The 25,964-nt window shown below is 35.9% G+C and overlaps 1 protein-coding gene across 9 annotated transcripts in view; it reads left to right on the forward strand.

Moving 5' to 3' along the window:
• Positions 1-25,964, forward strand: part of UGT8 (UDP glycosyltransferase 8) — a 79,824-nt gene that overhangs the window by 19,232 nt on the left and 34,628 nt on the right. For 4 of the 9 annotated variants that reach the window (XM_047416134.1, NM_001322112.2, XM_047416135.1 and 1 more), the window contains exons 2-3: positions 1,790-1,892; positions 5,246-6,069. In XM_047416134.1, the coding sequence (XP_047272090.1) occupies positions 5,248-6,069 (822 nt within the window). In that variant the 5' untranslated portion in view covers positions 1,790-1,892; positions 5,246-5,247. Of the gene's footprint in view, positions 1-1,789; positions 1,893-4,733; positions 6,070-25,964 lie in introns of those variants that run through there. The other 5 variants (NM_001322113.2, NM_001128174.3, NM_001322114.2 and 2 more) reach the window with 2 other exon arrangements.

Genomic DNA, 25,964 nt, shown 5'->3' on the forward strand with positions numbered 1-25,964 from the left:
AATTTAGAGAAAGAGAGAATCACTAGTGGCTACTGTTAAATGGAAGTCCAAACAGATAAGTGGAAAATGGGCATTTGTATGAATTTTGGGAAGCGTTAGTGCCCTTAACAGTAAGAATTTGGTTAGAATTGTGGTGGATTCAAAGGCTGACAGTAAACATCTGGGGAGTAAGTGGAGACCAGCAAATAGAGACTGATGTTTTAAGATGCTTAACTCCAAAGGAAGGATGAGAGTAAGGCTCCAGCTCCAGGGATGTGCCAGCTGAAAGCTGTAGAATTACCTACTTTTGGTAGAAATCTTTGAAAATCCTGAAAAATATAAGAAAAGGAAAGAAAATTGTTCAAGTCCATAACCTTAAAATTGTTATCAGTTTCATCTTTACTTTGTTATCATTATAATCACTTTATATATACATATATATCATATACATAATTTTATTTCTGATCTTCTTAGTGTTATGTTACAAGTATTTTCTGATATTAAAATTATTTTCAAACATTATTTTTGAAGTTCTATAATTTTCCATGATAAAAATATAGTGTAATTAAATTAATCTACTGTTGGCTTTATAGTGGTTTCTGGCTGTTTGCTGTTGGCTATGAATGCAATGGACATTTTTCTACATAAGTATTGGTATCTCTGTAGTGTTATAAAATAATATGCCAGTTGTATTTCATAACATTTACACCAGTTTACATTTTCACCAACTTCTTAAGACTACACTGTGCCTTTGCAAGAGTTGAGCATTATCACTAAAAATAACATCCTTGCCGGTTTTATAAGAGACAAGTCTAATTTGTTCATTTGTTCAGTCATTCCACTGTAGCCCTGTCAATGCCTCATACCACTTTTCAGAACTCATGTGTATTTATTTTCTTTTATATTCTTCACTCAAATTTCCAGTGGAGCTTCGGGAGAAAAGGAATGGAAACACTTGTTTTAATCTGCCATTTTAAACTGGAAACCTCTGCTTGCTCCAGATGTTCTAAACATTCCAAAAATATTAATGATTGTGCATTTAAATCTAATATTTGTAAAAGCAATTGTTTGCTTTGCTTTATGCTTATTTTTTTCTCTTTCCAGATAATCCTTTAAAGCTAAACATTTTTAATGGATTTATCTAAAAACTTTTAACACTGTGCTATTCAATTTACTTTAAGGAAGGTTTAAGGTAAAAAATATAGTGATTTTATTTTTCAAATATAAAGCAAATTTTTAACACTATTGAATAAGTTTTTCTTTCCTCATCTATTTGTGGTACTTCCTTCGTCATCTATTAGGCTTATATTTATTCAGGGAATTCCAATAGGCTTCCTACACTGATGCATTGATTTCATGTAGAATTCTTGGGCTAATTCCAGTTTTTAATTATTGGGTTTTAAAATATGTTTTAAGATTTATATGGATATCCCAAATCATTACTGTTTCTTTTTCAAAAATGTATTCTCTCTTCTTTTTATATTTTTCCAATGAACATAGGTATAATTTTGATTAAATTTCGAACAAAACCCAACAATCATCCAGTGGGATTTGGAAGAAATGTATCAGTCTATTTATAACATGGGAAGGATTAACTTTTAGAATATTTTCTTTTGTGAAAACAAAAGTGTTTCTATACATTTAGAAAATATTCCTGTGTATATATCTTCAGGGGAAGTCTGGCCATGTTACAGGCAACAAATATTCTATGTTGGTAATGTAAAAGGTATATTGTACACTTTATTGTTATTGTGAATGAAGTATTTTTTCATCATATGTTACTTTAAAATAATATTTATTTTTATTTCAGTGAGAGTAACACATGCGCACTGTGGATTCCTTTGTGAATACATAAAAGGAAAAGTTAAAACTCTTATAATTCACACTATCCAGAGAAAAACAATACTATTTTGGCAAGTATCATTCCCATATGTGTACACATGTATATATTTTGCAAAGTGCTACATGATGTTTATAATGTTTAGTATCCTAATTTTCAGTCAACATTTAATCTTGAATATCTTATGCCATATTCTTTTTATAAGATTTTTCTAGTGGCTGCATTATATGAATGAATGACAGTGTATTTAACCAATCCCCAGTTGTTGAGAATTTAACATAACTTCAAGATTTGCAGATGGTAATAATCCTCTCCTGCACTAAATGAAATCAGGAGAATACTTAGGGAAGTGAAATATCTATTATGTATGTTGCAGGTTGTATTTCTGAGATATCATTTGTCATTATATTTGTTTATGGTGCATTTGATATGTCTGCATATTTTATTTGTATTGCTTAGTTTGTTTTCTATTGAGTATTTTTCAGGTTTCTTTAATATAAATAATATTGGCTATTATAATAACATAATTATATTAAAATATAAGATAATTATATCTTGACAATGCTATTCTAAAATATAAGCAGTTCATTAAAAATTATGTGATTTCTTTTTACTTTGTAGTAATTACTGAAATAAAATATTAAAATTAAAAAGGAAGAATTAAACAAAAGCACAGTGAAAGCATTTGTTCTCTATGATCATTTTTGTTTTAAGTTATTTATGATAGATAAAGTAGTTTTAACTGTAACTGAACAGAGTGTACCTATGGTCTGCTCAGCTAGATCCAGAACCCAGTGGAGAGACCAGTTTTCTACCATTGTTCCATCATCAAGTACTCACCTCTCGAATATGCAAGAAGTGACAGCAGTGAGCAGTAGCTGCTGGAATACCTACCTGTTTTGGCATTAGTCTTATCCCTGGAGTTCATATTTCCTTGTAAAATATCTCATTTTTCCTTCTTCAGATTTGTGAGAAGGCAACATTGGAGAGACACATAGGTGAGGCAGTACAGTAGAATAAACATTTGGAAGGTTTTTCTAAGATCAGCTCCTTAATTTTCTTTCTTCACTGATCTTGTAATTGTAGTCAACTTTACTATAGAATCAGTATCTTCTCCAAAGTTAATTATTTTTAAAGCCTTATAATAATGTAAGTGACATTTATATTATATGTTTGTAATGTGCATTACTTTTACTTATTCTTAATGGTATAATTTCAACTTTCAAATAGTTTGAAACTTCCCTTAGAGTAGGAGAGGAAAAAAGCATCTGGAAATATATGTATTTTAGAGTTCAATCTTGTTATTGGAAGAATCTATTAGTTGCCTGCTATTGATTTCTTTACATTGCTTGTAGTGTTTGAATGTTTAGAAGGTATAGTTGTTAAAACTGCGTTTAGATGTTGGGAATTTATACAAATAGGAGGGTTAATGTATTCTAAGGAGTAAAAATAGATATCAATTTGGTTATATGTGTGTTGGTGATGTGTGTATAAATCTATTTTGAGATTTTTGAAATGTGTCCAGTTTGCATGAGCAATTGTTTAGATCTTTTTTCTATTTGGGGGTCTAATTTAGAGTCTAAGAATTCATTATATTGAATAGGTTGGTGGGTGTATTTGCACACTATATGGTCCCCACGTATAGTATATTTATCTCTAAAAACAATAAAAGACAACTTTATTACACATATCTGTTAACATGAAAAGGTAGGAGAAGTACTGGCCCTCAAGTGTACAGGCATCCTCTGACTTGACATTTGCACCTGAGTTAAAGGTACAACATAGAAGTGTGGTCTGAGACATAATCATTCATCAGTCCTTTTTCAATAAGTATTTACTGAGATCCATTAACCCTCTTGAGCTTTTCTATTAAAAGTTTCTCTTTTACATAATGCCCTGAAATGCATCAGCAAATTGACATAGATTACATAAATATAGATTGCTAGGACAACTATGGTATTTAGGTAAAGGGAAAATATATGTTAAAGATCATTTTTCCTCTGGAAAAAAGTCTTTTCTGCAGAATTACCAAACTACCATTCAAAATAATTATTTTCTAAAACAATCTTTCTTTGGTATGCTTTGATTATAACTGCAAATGTAACCATTGAATTAAAATGATTTAAATAAGAGACACGTGCTGATATACCTGGAAATTAAAAAGGTCAGCTCTTCTTCCTGGGATTAACATTGACATTCAATTAGAAGATGAACAGATGTTCCATAGATATTTCATAGATATTCTTCCAAAAAGATATATTATGTGTCATTCAGCCTTATCAAAATGTTATTTCAAATGTTTGAAAATAGTTTACTGATTCAATTTTCTTCCCAAACAGATCCATTTTTAATATATTTCAGTTTATGTCAACTTTGCTTTCAATTCTATACTTAAACATAATTGATCTTTCAAAAATAAAGAGGTAATTAGAACAAATATCAGGATAATTTTTAATAGTGATTTTTTTTGTATGTTAGTGTATAATACTATAGAATGCATTCTTTTTTTTTATTATTATACTTTAAGTTTTAGGGTACATGTGCACAATGTGCAGGTTAGTTACATATGTATACATGTGACATACTGGTGTGCTGCGCCCACTAACTTGTCATCTAGCATTAGGTATATATCCCAATGCTATCCCTCCCCCCTCCCCCCACCCCACAACAGTCCCCAGAGTGTGATGTTCCCCCTCCTGTGTCCATGTGTTCCCATTGTTCAATTCCCACCTATGAGTGAGAATATGCGGTGTTTGGTTTTTTGTTCTTGCGATGGTTTACTGAGAATGATGATTTCCAATTTCATCCATGTCCCTACAAAGGACATGAACTCATCATTTTTTATGGCTGCATAGTATTCCATGGTGTATATGTGCCACATTTTCTTAATCCAGTCTATCATTGTTGGACATTTGGGTTGGTTCCAAGTCTTTGCTATTGTGAATAGTGCCGCAATAAACATACGTGTGCATGTGTCTTTATAGCAGCATGATTTATAGTCCTTTGGGTATATACCCAGTAATGGGATGGCTGGGTTCTAGATCCCTGAGGAATCGCCACATTGACTTGCACAATGGTTGAACTAGTTTACAGTCCCACCAACAGTGTAAAAGTGTTCCTATTTCTCCACATCCTCTCCGGCACCTGTTGTTTCCTGACTTTTTAATGATTGCCATTCTAACTGGTGTGAGATGATATCTCATTGTGGTTTTGATTTGCATTTCTCTGATGGCCAGTGATGGTGAGCATTTTTTCATGTGTTTTTTGGCTGCATAAATGTCTTCTTTTGAGAAGTGTCTGTTCATGATTTTTTTTTTAGACAAAGTATTAGATCAGATATTTTTGGGGAAAAATGCTTTGTGATTGCTTGTTTTGAATGGTGAGCATTGTATTTTGTTTTAAGTTGTTTTCTGGTTGTTATTACAGCTATGAAGTCTTACACTCCATATTTCATTCTCCTGTGGAGTGCTGTTGGGATAGCGAAGGCTGCCAAAATCATCATCGTGCCGCCAATTATGTTTGAAAGCCATATGTACATTTTCAAGACGCTAGCCTCAGCCTTGCACGAGAGAGGCCACCATACAGTGTTCCTCCTCTCTGAAGGCAGAGACATCGCCCCATCTAATCATTACAGCCTCCAGCGCTACCCAGGGATCTTTAACAGTACCACCTCAGATGCTTTCCTACAGTCCAAGATGCGGAATATTTTCTCTGGGAGATTGACAGCAATCGAACTGTTTGACATACTGGATCACTATACTAAGAACTGTGACCTGATGGTTGGCAACCATGCCCTGATCCAGGGTCTGAAGAAAGAAAAATTTGACCTGCTGCTGGTGGACCCTAATGATATGTGTGGATTTGTGATAGCTCATCTTTTAGGGGTTAAATATGCTGTATTTTCAACTGGCCTTTGGTATCCTGCTGAAGTGGGTGCTCCTGCTCCATTAGCATACGTCCCAGAGTTTAACTCACTCCTCACAGACCGCATGAACTTGCTGCAAAGGATGAAAAATACCGGTGTTTACCTCATTTCCAGATTAGGGGTCAGCTTTCTGGTTCTTCCCAAATATGAAAGGATAATGCAGAAGTACAACCTGCTGCCAGAGAAGTCCATGTATGATTTGGTTCATGGGTCCAGCCTGTGGATGCTGTGTACTGACGTAGCACTGGAATTCCCAAGACCCACTCTGCCTAATGTTGTTTATGTAGGAGGAATCCTAACCAAACCAGCCAGCCCACTACCAGAAGTAAGGTTTGCCGAATTCCTTGGTAATTCTTTTTTAATGTAAAAGTCAATTTTGATTTTTGGAAGAGATATGATTTGTTATTTATATATATTGTATATATACAGTACACTAAAAGGTGATTAGGACATGGGGCCTCCAAAGTCCCTTTATGTGGGTCCACCACTTCCCTGGGAAACATTCCTGCTTTGAATGAGCATTTCTGTAATACTGAAAAGACCACTATGCCATATGGTCAATAGACTGCCTGGGAAGTAGTTTTCTGATTAAGTAATAGTTATAGTATGTGAGGAGAATATAGTTAAATGGTTAATTTTAATGAGTATAAGTGATTTTATCTTTAATTACACACAGAATCCCCTCTGTTCTGCCCCAAATAGCACAATTAACAGGTATATATGTTTAGCTTCAGGTCAGTGAACAGAGGTTCTTCTCTGGGAGGTTATTACCACTAGTTTATGTCCAATAATGAAAGTGAGGTGGTAACTTCCATCAAAGTAGGGAGTTGGTTAATTTAAGCTAGTAAGTAAATGTAATGGTTTTAAGGAAAGCATGCTCTATTGCAATTTCATTTCAATGATGGAATCAATGGCACTTTAAGAAACTCTGTTCTCTATGTGAAACTTAAATTCTTTTTATTGATTGAGCCAACAGTAAATCCCTTGGTATTCTGTTCACCATCCTTGTTTTTTATTAGGTATCCCACATTAGCAGAAGCCATACACATACCTATTGTTGTAGTGAGTTTTCTAACCTCAGATTGAATCTCTCAATTTAACCTCAACATCAGATCCCATTTACTAGGAAGTGTAGGGCTTGTTGCAGGACTTTATTCAAGTTACTTTTAATCCTACCTCTGGAAATAGCCACTCAAAACAATTTTGCTAAATTGTTGATTTCTAGTTCTGGTACTACATATTAAAAATTCTATCAGGGCCTTGATGAAGAGTAAATCCAGATTTTCTCGTATAGATGAGGACAATCACATGGCTGAATTTTGTCGTGAGGCAATAAGGTGATTAGAAATATACGACCTGTAGGCTTTTCTAATATGGCCATTAGAGTTATAATTAATAAATAATATATCGATATATTTCATATAACATGGAAACAGAAATGGCCTGTACACCCACAGCATTTCAAATATATACAGCCACTGGAGGCCATGAGGGCACACTTGTTCTCTCTGACGTCAACTGTAAAGGATAGGGATTAATCTCAGCTTATCTTAGCCATTCTTGAATTTATCCAAGCTCATTTTGAATCCTCAGATCTTCTCTGGCAGAGTCACCTTCCTAAAGGTAGCTAAAATCAGATTTTAGAAGTAGCTTCTAAAAGATTTGGTAATCAAGGTGTGTCTTTACCTTAACTGAGTCATTTAAAATGTTACACAAATCATCCTTGTTCTCTCTAGGTCATCATCTTTTCCGAGCTAGAACACTCCCCTTCTGCCAGCTCCCTTTGGTTTTCATCTGGGTGATGTCTCTCTTCTTCAGTCACTTGATTGAAGAAGAAGTATATGATGAAAAGGAGCTGGACGCGGTGTCCCATGCCTGTAATCCCAGCACTTTGGGAGGCCAAGGCAGGAGGATCACTTGAGTCCAGGAGTTCGAGACCAGCCTGGACAACATAGTGAAACCTTGTCTCTACAAAAAATAAAAATTAGCTGGGTATGGTGATGCATGTCTATAGTCCCAGCTACTCAGGAGGCTGAGGTGGGAGGATCACTTGAGTTCAGGAGGTCGAGGCCGCAGTGAGCTGAGATCACACCACTACACTCCAGCCTAGGTGTCAGAGTGAGACCCTGTCTAAAAAAAAAAAAAAAAAAAAAAAAAGGAATGTCCTGTCCTGATTGCCTTTTCTTTCCTTCCAGTTCCTGCTGTATATTTGTCTTGAGTTGCAGCAACTTGAATGACACAGTATAAGTGTAGGAAAATATTTTATGTTTTATTTTCAATACTCTACCTTTCAAAAAGATGCATAGCATGTGATAATTTTTTTTCTACCATCCAAGCATTTTTTTCTGTCATGGATTCCTCTGCACACAGATGTCCTTACTAGTGTCACTATTTTGTTTTACATGAAAAACATCTTTTTAGTGGTTTTTGGTGCTCGACATAAGGTATTACTCAAAATATCCTTTAATTTGCCATAATTTCTCATTTGACACTGGCTTGACTTTCTTTGTGGAGTTCTTTTTCCTCTGGGCTATTTGTAGTGGTTCTTTTGAAATGCGTTTTTTGTTTACAAAGTTTGCTTTGTGCCAGTTAGTTTGGTTGCATGCACAGACATGGCATGTGTGCATGTGTTATATATAGTATGTGGACATAGATAAGTATATTATTATTATTGGAAGTCTATTAGATTATCATTGTGAAGGGCTGTTTTCATTTCAGAATGTTATTTATAGTTTTTGAGCAGGGAGTATTTTGAAGAATGATGTGCAGTACTCTTTCAGGTATTCCTTATTCTGGTGTGGTTTTATATGCTTATGAACACATGTTCCCACTGAGATTTTTCTAGTAGATTTATTTGAGATAATAAACTGTACCTTTTCATTCTAAAAGTTAATGAGTTTCTCAAATGCCTGTATTATTTACAGGGCATTGTTGTGACAGTAACACAGGAAGGCCCAGAAAGTAGCTGCGTAGAACACATGATTCACATATAGCAGCTTAATTGTTAATTGCCCTGGTATCTTACACTGGGCATAGATTAGGTTTTCCAGATGTCTGTAAATGATTTTACAGTGGGACTGAATTTCACAACCTGGGATGAAAGGGCAGAGAAAATTTATAAAGGACATTTTAAATAAGCTTTCACAATGTTTGATCCTAAAGAAATCCTGTAGAGAGCATATAGTTCGGCTCCATTCCTTTTATTTATTCTTTCCTTTAAAGTAGGTAGAATAGAGATAGGGAATAGTCCATCCATTTCTCACATAGTAGATACAAAGACTTCATCAAAAGCCACACAGATAGTCTGTGGCAAAGTCAGGTGTAATGTGGATTGTTTTGCTATTTATTAGGTGTTTTTTCAAGGTGATTGCATCTCTTGTCACTAATTTTAGTCATTTACTTACTTACAATTGTGTATAAAACCATGCAGAGACAGCAGTTTTTTGAATCTTATTTATTTTATGTCTCTCAAAGATTGTCAGGGCTTAATACTCAAGTCAAATGAAACCATATGGACTCTTATTTATGCTTTAGAGATTTGATAAACTAAATCAGCCTAAGTTCAAATGCTTTTGATTACAAAATGTTGTGTCAGTGTAGAGTGAAGAAATTGTGTGCCTTGATAGTAGAAATCATTTTAAAATCCATGTTAGAAATGTGCCTGGAAAGACAACTTATCATCTACTACCTGGCTGCCTCTAATAGGAGTCTTTAAACAATGTGGACTAAGGGGAAGAATTCTGAGTTGGATCACATTCATATAGTGGTTTACCTACTCTATCATTGCAGGCCAGTAGAGAACATGGATAAAGATTAAAAAATAAAAATGCTTTGATCAAGAAGGAGGTCTGTAGACAGGTCCCTATTTGAATAGATTCTTTTTTTTTTTTTTTTTTTGAGATGGAATCTCTTGCTCTGTCACCCAGGCTGGAGTGCAGTGGCATGATCTCAGCTCACTACAACCTCTGCCTCCCAGGTTCAAGTGATTCTCCTGCCTCAGCCTCCCAGGTAGCTGGGACTACAGACTAGTGCTACCATACCCAGCTAATTTTTCGTATTTTTAGTAGAGATGGAGTTTCACCGTGTTAGCCAGGATGGTCTCGATCTCCTGACCTTGTGATCTGCCCGTCTCGGCCTCCCAAAGTGCTGGGATTACAGGTGTGAGCCACCGCGCCTGGCCAAATAGATCCTTTAAATATTAAATGTGAATGAAATAATGACATCTAATTGGAAAGTGATTTTAATTTTTATTAATTTTATTAGCAGATAATCCACCAAAGAATAGTACATGTTTACTTAGGGAATCTAATAGTTATTAAAAATAAATGTTTCAAGTGATACTTTTTAGATGATTTCCCATTGGCTGAAATGGCCTACGCTGCCAGGCAGTTGCTCTCTGCCACTTTTCAACTTCTACAGCCTTGAACTCTTATAGCACCTAATAGCACTTTAACTACTGTTTGCTGTTGTTGTACTGTTTTTGTTGTTGTTTGTTTGTTTTACATGGCTCTCTTAACTAGAATGTGAGTACCTCAAAAGGTTGATACTCTATAACCTGAGTGCCTGAAAAATGGTTGGTACTCAATAAAACTTTAATATTTAATGAACTGTATCAAATAGAAATAGTTGCCAAAAATAGGTGATTCAGTTAGTGCAACAATGTTAATATTATAACTATCATCTGTTTGTTCTAAATTTGTGTCTGTATACTGTCCTAGCCATTAAGCAACCCAAAAATCCATGCTAAGTTGTTGAGTTTTTTTTTTAATTTTTATTTTTTGAGATGGAGTCTCACTCTGTCACCCAGGCTGAAGTGCAGTGGCATGATCTTGGCTCACTGTAGCCTCTGCCTCTTGGGTTCAAGCAATTCTCCTGCCTCACCCTCCCAAGTAGCTGGGATTAGAGGTGTATGTCACCACGCCTAGTTAATTTTTATATTTTCAGTAGAGACAGGGTTTCGATATGTTGGCCAGGATGGTCTCAAACTCCTGACCTCAAGTGATTCAGCCACCTTGGCTTCTCAAAGTGCTGGGATTACAGGCATGAGCCACTGCCCCAGCTGGTACTAAGTTATTTTAATGAATTAGAATAACTATTCTAATGTTACTGATAGTGAGGAAAGAAGATAACCATACCATTACCCAATTGTGAACTAAAATAGTCTTTTCTCTCTTCCAAATATGCATATAAACAGGGGCAGTGCTGAAAGTCAGGCCAGCTATTGCTGTCTTGAAAGATGATTTGAGGCAGCATGGCACTCATTTGGTGCTCTTCAGAGATACTATATTTCCACATTAGGAGTATTTATGGCATCTTAAGTTCACCAGTTGTGGAGACATTTTTATTTAAGGAAGCATAGTCTTGGGGAGAGATAAGAGATAAACAGAGATAAGAAAGCACATGGGACCAGGGACTAGACCAGGAGATATTCACTGTTTGTCATTTTGTTATTTGCTGGAACTCCCTCAGAGAATGATCTTGGGGACAATGAGAGATTGAGCAACAGAGTTATTAGATTAGCCACTTGTGAGCAGGTAAGTTTATGAGAAGAAAAATGAAATGAAGAAACAAAATAGTGACTTTCCATACTTGGTATTCCTGATTAACATAGAAGCCATTACTTCCTATTACATATGGTGATTGAAAGCTGGTTTCACCATTAATGAATGAAGTCTCTAGGCTTGGATATGAGACCAGGGTCCTTGGGGGTAAAAGACTTGATCCAGGGTTGCAGCAGATGTGGAAAATTAAGGCCATTTTTATTAATAATTACATATGCAATTTGTTATCTTATGAAATTTAAAGCTGGAGATGTAAAGCTTCATCTATATAGTAGTACTATGCTATGTTGTTAGCTATGTGGGGGTCAGAAAATTGAGGATGACAATGTTTAGAAGAGACTAATAATTTCATTCCAGTTACTAATTCTGAGTTCAGAAATGTTAGTACTTTAACTACTGTTTGTTTGTTTGTTGGATGGCTCTCTTAACTAGAATGTGAGTACCTCAAAAGGTTGGTACTCTATACCCTGAATGCCTGAAAAGTGGTTGGCACTCAATAAAAGTTTAATATTTAATGAACTGTTAAATGATAGTTTGGCAGAAAAAATAAATTCTCTAAGGGAACTCATTAATGTAAAATGTTTTTGCAGATGCTTTATAGGTTAATCATGTATTTTCTTATTATTTTGTAGTAAGAAACCAAATTTATAGTAAGTAACCAAATTTCTTGTTAAAGAAATCTATCCAGGAAGTAAGTAAATCAAGCACTGTTGAAACTATCAATGACTTAACTGTTCAGTTCACTGATACAAAAATTTTCTAAGCAACATTGTAGTTTTTAATAGCTTGTCATCTGCTTCTGTAAGCATTATGGGCTTACAAGGATTTCCTGATATGATAGGAGATCCAATATATGAACGGAATCAAACAAACTTGTTTTGAATTGATATTGCAAGATCTGACATGATTTTAACTCCAGCACACATTGTTAAGTTTTTAAGCTTTAATAAGCCCTAGAGAATTGTTCATTTAGGTATTAAGTCAAATACTGGCAATATTTTTAAGGGAAATATTTTTAACTGATAATTTTTAGAAATGACAAATTTCTCAATTAAATTACTGTTGACACCAGTTTTGGGGGATGATATTCTTCACAAATACTCTTATTCTAAGCCAAACAGGTCTATTTATGAAATTTAAATTGCTACTGCCAAAGGGTTTGTCAGATCTATTTCTGAGCTCAGATTTTGTGGTGTAAGCATGAGCTTGTGACAAATCAGTGGCACTGAAGACAAACTACCTATTTTCTGGCTTTGTATATGAAAAATTGTATTTCACCTTTCCAGGTATTGTTCCTTGTACAAAATACCAAAATGGAAAAACAGGGGCTTTTTTAGTCAAATGGCCCTGACTTTTAGTCTTATCTTCATACGACTCTTTTGGTTAAAGGAATCAGCCTAATTAAAATGAGGATAGCATGTCAGTACTTACTTCAGAGGACTTTTGGTATATGAGAGCCACGACAATACCTGGTGGTGGCAGTTATTACTCTATTACTCTTATTATTACTGTAATAACCCTTGTAACTTACAGTGAGCCAAGAGTATGGAATCACTGATCATTTCTTATTTTCCACATGCTGAGGAGAAGAATGGTTCTCAGGAGAGTGGATAGAGATGTAGGAGGGATGTGGAGCATCTATGGTTTCACCTCTCTTCATTCGGGCTGTTGACACTGGTACTTCTGTTTCCATCTTGGGGATTTTTTTTTTTTCTTTCTTCCATTATTTTTCTTAGTGAAGTAGAAGGACGATGACAATTGTGTGAGATACGTGGTTCTTAGATCACCTGGAGTTTCTTAAGAAATGAACAGAAATTGATAGATATATCTTCTCTAGGGTAGAAAGAAGAATTAAGGGAGTAGCTTCATCAGAATGCTGGCTTCTTTAACCTCTGGGACACTGATTTTTCAGGCCTTTCAGTGGAGGAACTGGGACTCCAGCCCCTCTTCTGCTGGCTCCACACCTATCCATTCTCCTGACTCTGTGATTCTCATTTTTGAGGGAGTTTAAGGGAGAACTCTAGGCAAATAAATGATTGCCTTCCTTCTAGCCCAGCATTGTACTGAATCTCCTCCACACTCAGACCCTGAAGAACTAGACTCAGTAACCTAGAAATGCCAAAAAAGCCTTAGTAGTTTCTTCTAAGATCTAAGGTTCAGACTCGGCAACCAACCCCAATATTTATACTGACTTCTTCCTATATTATTTATTAGGTTGGTGCAAAAGTAATTGTGGTTTTTGTCATTAAAAGTAATATCCCAGCAGGGCTCAGTGGCTCACACCTGTAATCCCAGCACTTTGGGAGGCTGAGGCAGGTGGATCACCTGAGGTCAGGAGTTCTAGACCAGCCTGGCCAACATGATGTAACCCCATCTCTACTAAAAATACAAAAAAATTAGCAGGGCGTTGTTGTGGTGCATGCCTATAGTGCCAGCTACTCGGGAGGCTGAAACAGGAGAATCGCTTGAACCCGTGAGGCAGAGGTCACAGTGAGCTGAGATCGTGCCACTGCACGCCAGCCTGGGCGACAGAGTGAGACTCCATCTCAACAAAAACAACAATAAAAGAAAAGTAATGTCCCATTGTATCCTTTGTATTTTCCTTCAGTATTGTATTCTCTTTCAGTATTGCTTAGATCAGAATTCCATGAAATTCCTGTCGGCACGTGATTGTAGGCCACTTAGTAGATCTGGGGTGGGTCTAATAATTTGTACCATGTTACCTGGTCATGCTGATACTGTTGGTCAGATGACCAGCCACTATTTGAGAACCATTAATTTAAACTCATACAATCCATGTGATCCATAAATTTTAATAGCATTGCGTAATGTATTTTGTATGAGAATCTTTTTTCTGGTAATTAAAGATTTTCTCTGTTTTAGAAAGTTATTTTCAGTGTAAATTGCACCCAAACAAATGGATATGTATCTAGATTTCAAGAACTAGAAAAGCCCTGGATTACACTGTAGATCTGAACAGCTCATTACCTTACAGTTCCACTTTGTGAAACTAAGATGATGCTGTTGAATGATCAGTTCTTGCTTTAAGATATAGATCTAAATAGAGTGGCCATGTACAGCCATGTCAGTAATAGGTAAGGGCCTCAGAACTAATAACTTTCAACTCTTCTCCCTGTTTTAATTCATCTTCACCATTTGCTTTTGGCCTTCGAGTATATTTTGGTAAAGCAGCATTTATTGCTGTTTGTAGGAACCACTTCTAGGAGAAGATTCAAGAATTCTGATTAATATAAACATAGAGAGTTAATTAGCTGGTTAACAGAGCATCCATTCTAGAAAGAGCTGTGAGAGATGAAAATGCTATTAGATAGGAGAGAGAAAAAGAGACAGACAAGCATGTCTTCCTTTGTCCTAAAACTTCAAAGAAGTTCCTATAAAAGTGGTCATTTACATATAGTATTTCATTTGGGTGGCTTTTGACAGGGTGGATTTTCAGAAAAATTATGGTGTTCAAATGCAGGAGGGGAAACTTAAGACCACGTGGTGGATACTAACTTCCCTTGATTTTCTTCTGCTTTTTTCCTTCCTTGATATGTGATAGAGTAAAAATAAACTTTACAAAGTAAGCTGACTTGGTTCTACTTCATTGAATATAGTAACTACTTAATGAATGTCTATTGAATCATTTTATACTGAATTAGATTTAGAGAAAAGGTCTTCTGATAGCATTTAAAAAGATTTGATTTGCACAGATCTTTAAGAAAAACATTAGGTTCTAAGGAATTTTAAATATTTCAGAAACAAATAATGGAGGAAGCAATACTGAGGGATCTCAGGTCAGTCAACTTTTATGTCCCACCCACTTTCATTCCTAGTACGACAGTACTTGCACAGTATGGGCTTTAATACATATGTTTTGAATTAACGTAATCCGAAGTTGCAAAAGTCAATACAGTTGCCTAATTTATTTTGCAAAAATGGAATAAAACTTTTATTACACTATGCATTTCCAGACTTTTTATCAGTGAAAAGCAACTTAATTGACTTGATAAATATTGTTAAAACCTTGGGGCTAACTAAATTCCTTGACTACCATTTTCAGGCCATGATGAGAAACAGATAAACCGACTTGACTTTTTTTTCACTACAAAGTCCTCTTAGAACTTTTTCACATGTATAACATTGAAAAGGTTTTACAAATCACAAAGAGATGGCCACACTTAAAAAGGATAGATGGCCATTTAGTTATACATTGAGTGCAGATTTATTGGGTACCTAATATGTGCCAGGCACTGAGCTAGCAATGTTAAGTGCAGTTCATGGTTTTTTTGTTTGTGTTGCTTCTAGTCTAATAGGGGAAATAATAAAGATGTAAACAAATTAATATGATGCATATTTCCAAAGCTAAACTGCTGTAACAGAAGCCAAAAGAATGCAGTGATAGAAAATAAGGAGTCTTCTCAGACAATCAGAGTAATGCCTCCTGAGAAAGTGGAGAGAGCTGATGGAAGGAGAGTATTCCAGGCAACCAACACCCACCCCAAAGTGGGAAGGACTTTACATTTTGAAGAACTGAGAAAGATCAGTGGGGGCTGAGAAGCTGATGGCATGGAGCTAGGGTAGAGTGACTGAGGTGACCTTAGAGAGATGAACAGAGATGATATCATGCAAAGCCTTGTTCACTGTCCAAGGTTTGGATTTCCTTCTGAGGCTTTAGATGGGCTTTAACATGATTGGATTTACTTTTAGAAAATCCACACTCTGGGCCAGGTATGGTGGCTTTCGCCTGTCATCCCAGCACTTTGGAAAGCCAAAGTGGGCAGATCAAGAGGTCAGGAGTTCGAGACCAGCCTGACCAACTTGGTGAAACCCCGTCTCTACTAAAAATACAAAAATTAGCCAAGCGTGGTGGTGTGTGCCTGTAATCCCAGCTACTCGGGAGACTGAGGCAGGAGAATCACTTGAAGCCAGGAGGCAGAGGTTGCAGTGAGCCCAGATGGCGCCACTGCACTCCAGCCTGGAGGACAGAGTGAGACTGTCTAAAAAAAAAAAAGGATCACTCTGGTTGCTTTGTGGAAAAAGAACAATAAAAGGGGAAGAGAGGAGACAGGCAGGATCAATTGGGTGAATGTTGCAGTAGCTCAGAGGTGCATTGATGGCTGCAGAGATGGTGAGAAGTGGGATAATTCCAAGTATATTTGGGAGGTAGAATTGAATGGGGTGAAGTTGAGTGATGGGCGGTTCTAAAAAACCCAGTTTTCTTGCTTGAGCAACTGGTGGATGGCATTTCCTTGATGCGAAAGAGTAAGGGATGAAGAAGTTCTTTAGGAAAATACATTGTTTAGTTGGGGGCATATTGAATTTGAGAAACCTGTGGGTATATGAGTGGATTCAAAAGTCAAATTGATGTTTGAACATGTGAGCATGGAGTTGATAGGAAAGGTCAATGCTGGGTATTCAGTTGTGGGAGTTACCTTCCAAGAGATTATAGTAAAGCCATGGAAATAAATGCAGTGGCTTATCGACTCTCCAAGGAAGAGGAGGAGGGAAGAGGAGTCTCCAAGAATTCTGAGAAGTCATGACTAGGAAAGGATAAAGGATAACTAGAAAAAGTGATATCATAGGTCCATCCTTTATTGGTGTTGGTGAATTGGATGTTTCCATGAGTTAGTTGGGTATGTATACCTGTGGTCCTGAGTCACTGGACAATTTTAGTTGTTGCTAAGTAGATATATAGTAATAAATGACTAAACTTATACTCTCCTTTAACAATCTTCTTACATTTGTGGCATCAGACCATTGGTAGAGGTGACAGAGTACTCACTGGGAACCAGGTGAATATCTAGTCCTTGACAAGATCACTTTACCTTTTTTTATCACTAAATTGTGAGTGGGTCAGTGATAGGGCTTGGACGGTCTTTAAAGTGGCTTCCACTTCAGTGATGGTGTGAAAGAGAAAATTTTGAGCCTTATACATACATTAAAATACAGACTTCCATTCTTAAATCGTTCTTATTTCTAGTGCAGTTGGCAGATCTCTGATAATTCATAAAGCTGGAGTCTTGCAGAGGATGGACAAGTGAGAGGCATAGAAAAGGATCAGTTTTACAATTTGTGTACTAGTGAAGCTTTTTTTTTTTTTAGTAAACCATGAACAATAATTAGAAATAGACTTAAGACAAGTAATATTTGTTTTTTAAAAACCAATGATTAAAAATTCAGGCCACCATCACTTGAGGTCAGGAGTTCGAGACCAGCCTGGCCATCATGATCAAACCCCATCTCTACTCACAATACAAAAATTAGCTGAGCATGGTGGCACGCACTTGTAATACCAGCTACTGAGGAGGCTGAGGCAGGAGAATCACTTGAAGCCCGGAGGCAGAGGTTGCAGTGAGCTGAGATTGTGCCACTGCACTCCAGCCTGGGTGACAGAGTGAGATTCTGTCTCAAAAAAAAAAAAATTCAAGCCACCATATTATTTGATTTTGTACAATACAGAAAGTACATATTTTTCCCCAGTGAATATAATTGAATTACCATTTTTATTGAAAGACTTTTTTTCTTCAACTATAATCTTAAAGAGAATTTTGAAATGCATCAAGCCATATACATAATTTTCTTACCTTTTAAGAATTATACCTTTCAGCTTTTTGTGATAGAGAATTTGTGGAAAAGATTTTGTAAAATATTTATTTAGAAACATTTTAAGGAAAAAATTGAAATTATAGAAAAATGCTTCAAGCTTTTGCAAATTTATTTTGGTAAAGTTCAAATGCTTTCCCCCCTCATAAAAAAGATCCATTTATTTCAGTTAAGTTTTAAGTATATCGCTTTGTAAATAAAACTTCAAATGAGGCTTGTTTACCAGATCTTTACAAATTTAAAGAGCAGAAATGTATTCTGATGTGTAATTTGAATCAGTTTCCTGTTATGAAGACAGAAAAGTCTCCATTGTTTCCAATTTTTAGAAGCATTAGATGTTACAAGAAGAGATAATGTAAGAATGAAAAGAGAAATTATTTATGTACTAGATTATATACAACTTTTCATATGAATACAAAAAAGCTCATTTTTCAGAACATATGGGATTCTGATAATGTTTTGATATGGATGGTATAGTTTATCCCTCTAGACTTGCTTAGTAATAACTTTAGTCTTTTAAAATTACGGTTTAATGGAAATCATGGTAATATATATGTGATTTCAGCTGAATACATTATTTAAGCTAGGCTTATTTTCCATCTAGTCCACATAACTTTTTAACAGAAATGTCAAATAATACATAGATACAAGCTTTATTCACATATTGTATACAATCAGTGCTTATGTTGATTACTTCTTTCAGCTGAATAGGGAATAAGGCCTCAAAAGGTTTATATCCAGTATTTGAGTACTTTTGTTATTCTCTTTAAAAAGTCAGTATTAGGCACTACTGGTTACTACCAGCTGAAGCCTTACACAGCTGTGTATTTAGCATTTAATCATGCTAAGAATTGCTAATTAGAAAATCAAACCGGACAAAGCATACCCAGTGGAGTTGATACAATACCATTTCTGTTTGAGAACCATAAATAAATAATCTTTACGCATTAGTGTTTCATTATAAGCATTTGTGCTGAATGTGGCAATATTTAACAAAATGTTTTAACTCACTAGAAATAATTTCTTGATATTATCCTTTCACAGAAATCCGTAATCTCTTTAAAATATAGCCAGCCTTATCAAAATTAAGTTTCTATTTAGCCTTTGATTTCTCTTTTTTTACTTTCTTCTATTCTGCTCCATTTCAGCATTCTGCTGCCCCCTCTCCCTTCCCCCAAACTTCCCGCTGCCTTCTCCACTCTGCTTTGTTTTACCCTACATTGGAACCCTGTGGCCACAAACCAACTGTAGCATCCTCAGTTAACCTTATTGTGGCTCAGGCTCCAAAATTCCCTATTCCCTTCTCTCTCTCTGTGTTTTTATTTTCTTAAATTTAAACCGCTTTGTTTCTAAACCTCAGATACACTTAGCTGCAGCAAAGAATGAGGGAAAAGACATTCATTCAACACTATGTGTTAATGGCTGATAGCAATTTAACATATTACCTTTCAAGCAGTAGTGAATATTTTATACTGAAATTGGAGGTCTAGTAACAGTGAGGCATTAGTCAAAAGAATCAATACCAGCAGCATAATCTGGTTAGTAAAAGTCAGAGAGGTAATGGTTCCAGAGGATTAGGAGGACACAATATGAATGCCCCTAATACCAGTTTTATGGTCCACTCCTACGGGCGATTATGGCTCAAACTTTGAGGAAGGAGGTAAGGCAGCATTTTCATCTGCATCTCACATCTCACGGTCTTTGTGAGTTCTACAATGCTACAGTGCCTGGCATGGTGCTTAACATCCTCCTGTAGGTTTAATTATTTCTTTTCTGATTTGAGAATAAAATAGGCCGGACACATCCCATGTTGCTGTTTAGACTGTACATATTTTGTTGAGTATGTGTTCTTGTTTAGAAATATACATTTTAGGAAGTAATGAAGTTGCGATTTCCTGAAATTCAGTAAGTACACACTTAGTTTTAAATGAGCTGCATTTTTAAGAGAACATTTAATGGAAAACCAAAGATCTAGAGTTTTGGTGTCATTTCTTCTACTAACTCCAGTAATAAACAGACTTTTTCTGGAGGTCTCATTTACCTGAACGACACCAAGAGCTAGAAAGAAAGTCACAAAGACATTTGAGAGGCCAAAATAAATGCCAAAATGTCCAGGAACTAACATTTATTTACTTGACTCACAGTAGCTGCCCTTAGGCCTTCATCACGCAGAGTTAATTTATTCCAATTATATACCTGCTAAACAGCTTGGTTATTTTATTTCCAAGCCTATGAAGGTTAAAAACAGCAAGTACATTTTTGAGGCAGGCATGCTGAAAGCAATGAATACTGACAATTTAATAACCTGACAGAACAGAGAGATCCAGAACTACTTCATCATGATAGGCCCACTTTATTCATTTGCAAAATAAAGAGTTTGGGCTAAACGAACCTTCAGAATTACAGGCTAAAATACGTAACCTCATACTTGTTTTCTACCAGATTAATATATTTTAAACCTCTGGCAGATTTTTTTGAAATTAACTTTACCATAGAATACATATATGATATACATTTAGAATGACATGTGGTGCTTGTTTTATTTACTTAAAACAGCAAAAAATACCCTTTTATCATTATGATCAGACCGGAAAATGACACTTAAAAATAGTAAATCATGTATTCATTTAAATCCAGTGACTGTGTTAGCTCCTGAGAAGACAAGATTTAGCAGAACACAGTTGATTTTTGCCCTCATTGAACTACGAATCCCATTATTCAACATTTAGAAGTGCTATGAAGGAAAGCATAGGGTGCTGAAGAGTATGACATTAGGGCCTGGGAGTAAGGAACAGGGTCATTATGAGCTTTTTACATGAGGGTTCCAAGGGTGTTCCACTGTAGTTTTTCCATCCCTGACTTTTGGATCTGTGCTAAGAAAATGTTTACTAGGTAACTGACATCAAGACCCTCTGGAGAGCCCAGTAACTAAAGCTCATTAACAGACGAGGCAAATTTTAGGAGCATTCATCTGTCCTCCCTCCATCTGTTTTCCTTGCTCATTTCATTTCTTTCCATAGTATTTTATTGAAGGTCACCACGTGTGAGACACTGTACACTGTCACTTTTAAACTCATCTCCTGTGACAGAGAGCAAGGAGCTCCTTCCTCCTAACATGACTGACATTTTAGGTCATTCTGATCTTTGGTTATGCTGAATGTTCTCTACTTTATTGGAAAGTTTAATTCCTCCCACTGGCTACTTGTTTGGGTTATGAATTCTCTACATCATTTTGTGATTCCACTAAGTTTTGTAGGTCTGTTGTGGCCCATTTATACTCAGGCCTGACTGGTATTTTTACATATCTCTTACTGCAGAAGATTTTCTAGCTTCCATTCCAAGCTCACTGAGGATTTCTCACAGACTTTCCTAATATGGTGGGGATCTTAGTAGAGAATATTTATCCTTGTAAAAGAAAATGCCCAGCCCTTCATACCTATATCGTTGGCTTATTCTATTACTTATTGGAAAATATTTATTGAGTACCTGTCAACTGCAAGAGACTCCATTAGATGCTGGAGATACAAAATAAAATGCCGTAAACCTTAAAGCCCTCAAAGATCTTTCAGGCAATCTATAAGTTTTCTAGCTCACTGTGATTCCAATGTCCTTTCCATTTGTGAAAGAACACCCAAATGGAAATAAAGAATAGCAGTCTCTGACTCTCTTCCACACTCATTATCAGACTCCATTCACTCAGTCATTCATCAATTCTCTCAGCAAATATATATTCAGTATCAGGACCTATTCCAGTCAGATACTCGAAGAACCTGCCACTACAAGCCTCATCTTCTAGGTGTTCTGATGTCCCTGGTTCTCTTGTTTAACATAAGAACATTCACATTCTCATTAAACCTAGGTGTAGTTGAAGCCAAGAGTTGGAATGGGATTATGTATCCAGAAAGTGGTGCCATGAAAGGTAGCCTTACTGGCCTTTAGTTAATTTGTAATGAAGAATCTGTGTTTTGTAATCTTTCCCATTACTTTGCTTTGCCTTTTCTTCTTTTATTGTCTCTTGACTTTTCCATAACAACTGAGCATGGTGCCTTTTGGAAACCATCTTTGAGATGACCTAAGGAGGTTGGTTGGTACTAGAATGAGCACAGGTTTTAACACAAGGCAAACCTGTGTTGTAATCCTGGGTTTACTATTACTAGTTTTAAGTCATTGGGAAAATGATTTAATTTCTCAGAACTTCAACTTATCCATGAAATGTAAAACAATAAACAAAATAAATTGTGTTAAGTACTTGGCACACAGTAAACCTACTTCTCCTTAGTTGCCTAGTGTTGTCTTCCTGAAACAGAGCTTGCCTGGAGGAGAAGGGGATCATATGAAAGCAATGAACTGGAATCAGGATGATGGATGCCTTATTGGGTGCAGGGAACATCAATTGTTGACTTCAGTTTAGTGTCATATTTAGTGCATTTTCCTTTTTACTGTTAAGATCTTATAGATTGATAGTTTCATGTAAAAATATGTTTGTTTGTTTTTTTTTTTTTTTGAGACGGAGTCTCGCTCTGTCGCCCAGGCTGGAGTGCAGTGGCGCGATCTCGGCTCACTGCAAGCTCCGCCTCCCGGGTTCACGCCATTCTCCTGCCTCAGCCTCCCGAGTAGCTGGGACTACAGGCGCCCGCCACCACGCCTGGCTAATTTTTTGTATTTTTAGTAGAGACGGGGTTTCACCGTGTTAGCCAGGATGGTCTCGATCTCCTGACCTTGTGATCCGCCCGCCTCGGCCTCCCAAAGTGCTGGGATTACAGGCGTGAGCCACCGCGCCCGGCCAAAAATATGTTTTTTAGAAGAAAAAAGTTTCTCAGGTTTCTACTTCTATTATATTTTCCAGGAGGAATACATTTATAGGTATTGACTCAAGTAGGCCCTAGCTGACATCCAAAATAAAATAAGAGATTTTTTTAAGTGTTAAAGTTAAAAAATATGTATGATATACCCTAAGGTAGCTGGATTTTATTTAATTCAAAGACATATGCTAGGAGATCTCACCAAAGGACCTGTATTAGTTCGTTTTCACACTGCTGATAAAGACATACCTGAGACTAGGCTGTTTACAAAGGAAAGTGGTTTAATGGAGAGCCCACAGTTCCATTTGGCTGGGGAAATGTGGAAACTTCCACCATGGTGGAAGGCAAAGAAGGGCAAGTCACATCTTACATGAATGGTGGCAGGCAAAGAGAGAGATTGTGCAGAAAAATTCCTGTTTTAAAAATCATCAGATCTTGTGAGACTTATTCACTATCATGAGAACAGCACGGGAAAGACTTGCCCCCATGATTCAATTACCTCCCACCGGGTCCTTCTCATAACACATGAGAATTCAAGGTGAGATTTGGGTGGGGACACAGCCAAACCATATCAGGATCTATCTTAGAAAATATCACCAAAAGGACAGGCTAGTCTTACCTTATGTGAATCTCTGATCTTTGTGGCATTTTAGTCATTGTTATCGGTCATAGAGTATTTCTGTGGAGAAGTTCTACTAAACTTTTGCATGTGCTGTGTTCAAAAAAAGCTGGCAGGCAATATGTAAATGTAATAGTTAAAATTAATAGCCTTAAGAAAAGCTAAAGCTAAAGCCTGAATTAATAATTTGTAATGAATCTTTATCAACTGATAATCAATTGCTGCTAAAAGAACCACAAAAGCTCTACTATTGGTGGCATTACTATCTTCATAGACAAGGTTACCCTAAAATAAGAGCATCATTAGGAGCTTATTCCTTCCCTTTCATCCGTGGGAGAAATCTGTTCCTCTTTGTTCAGTCTCACTTTGTTTTTATTCCCACAATCAAAGCAATACTTGGAATTTTGATTATATTAAATTTGAGTTTGGTAACTGCCCTGGATGACCCAATCATAGACTCCAATTCACGGAAGCTATGAGAGAGTTATTTCATAATTTAAAATGTTAGACCTAGAAAATTTTCATAATACGTTAGTTTTTTAAAAAACTGTGGCGTCTGTAAACCCTAATGGATGCTGGATGCTAGACACAGGTTTATTCATATACGTTTATCTGGCCAGGGTTACAGTGATATGAAGACCTCTAATCTATTGATGATATTTATTGATTCATAAAGCGAGAGATTAACCATTGTAGTAAAGTGACTGTAGTAACCCATGTAGTAAACCACTGTAGTAAACTGGAGAAAAACGAGAGAGGAGAATGGAACAGAAAAAAAATTTATTAGATTTTTGGAACCTGAAACAGAAACAAACTTGAATAAATTATAAGATCAAAATTTCTTTATTGCCTGAATTAATCTTCTCATTTTCTTTTACACTTTGACAGAAAAAGGAAAAGTTGGTAGACATTATATTTTTCGATATAGCTGTGTACTGAAAATAAAATCAACGTGACTGATAGTTTCAAAAGTGAATTTGAGATGTTACAAGATGACATGCAATAGTTTATAAGTTGGAAATTTACATTAAAGGGATATAAATAAATATCAATAAAAAGAGGAAAGGGGGCTTATTATCCTTGTAAAGTAGTTGAGATGGGAATTAGTGCTACCTAGATGCTTAACAGCCTCCTCTTGTTAAAATTGTTAACAGGACCCTTATGTATGTAATAGAATTGTAAGGTCAGATGCAGCAACGTGTAGCTGAAAGATGATGAGCTTTTTCAACGTATATTAACCTTTGTTGACTTTTTTTTTTTAGCGATTTATATCTTTGAGATAGTGGGACTTTCTGAGTCTTCTGTTCTCATTTTTAAGGGAAACGATCTATTTTATAGTGTTGTTTTGCAGTTTAAATGGGATAATAAAGTGAGAAAGCACCATTTTCTGCCATGCTCAGCACATATTAGGCCCTCAATGAGCAGTAGGTATTACTTAGCTTGTAGCAAGATTAACATATGATTACAATTTTTGGGGGTAGAGTTTTATTGATGTGTTCTTCCAATATGAGACTGCTCAGCTAAACCTGATATTTTTTACCAGCTAACTTCTCAGGCTGTGACTATTTTGCTTCCTGAATCCTCCTATATTTTCACTTGAATGAGCAGCTGTATATTGAATCACCCAGCATGGACAGCTGAATAAACTAGCCCTCATCACTGCAGTAAATAAAAGCTCATTTTATTTATTTCATCTTTCTTGTAGCTGTTTTAGTTTGTAAGCAATAGGATTTGTTCGCTTGTCATTTGGCTTTCTTTTGGTGTATGAGAAAAATGTATTTCAAAAAAATTGTTGTTTTAAAGGCCCTTAAGGGGAAAGTGATAGAAAATAAATAGGGTGGAATTGTTTAATGACAATATTTTAGAAAAATTCTTTTTAATGCAGAATATGGTATTTTTATTTTGTGAATTATTATCTGTGGGTCTCTGAGATCAACTATGTGATCTCTGATTAGTATCATACCTCAATCAGAACAAAATTAGAAACAACTACTCCTTTAAAGGATTATTTTTGTCCACAATGGGACATAGCTTTTTTAGATATTTGAAAGAAGAACAAAGGCTTTTTTGGTTCTTATTATTTTAATGTTGTTTTAGTTTGTATAATTGTAGGTGAAGGTCCAAGGTAAAAACTATGAAACAGTAGTGCCCAGGACTTAAGATGCACAGTCACATACTCTCTGACTTTTTTGTTTGTATTAAGTTATAAAAACAATGTCTGGATGCGGGTCAATGGCAGTGGCTTCTGGGTAATTAGGCAGTCATATTCAGGAGAACAGAAAGAAATACTATAAACAGAAGTTTAAATTTTAATAGTTACACAGGTTTGGAGAATGATAGTGCACCTAAATAAGCCACTTGAATTACAGTTGGGACTAATAATTAGGCAGGACTGTCCTTTAAAAAAATAGCACCGAGCCATATAGTAACCAGAAGAAGTTGTTCTTGTTTTGTGCTTTTCCATTTGGTACTGATAAAGAGAAACTTATGGGGATTAGAAAAAATGTTATATTATCACATTTTTCTGAGTGAAGCTAATACTAGTTAACCTTTAAATAGCTTCAGGGCATTGTTTTAGATAGTATTTCACAAACAAAAGATAAATCACTCCAACTGTATTTCCTTCTGATAG

The sequence above is a fragment of the Homo sapiens genome, chromosome 4 (assembly GCF_000001405.40).
Source record: "Homo sapiens chromosome 4, GRCh38.p14 Primary Assembly".
In the NCBI taxonomy this organism is placed as follows: domain Eukaryota; kingdom Metazoa; phylum Chordata; class Mammalia; order Primates; family Hominidae; genus Homo; species Homo sapiens.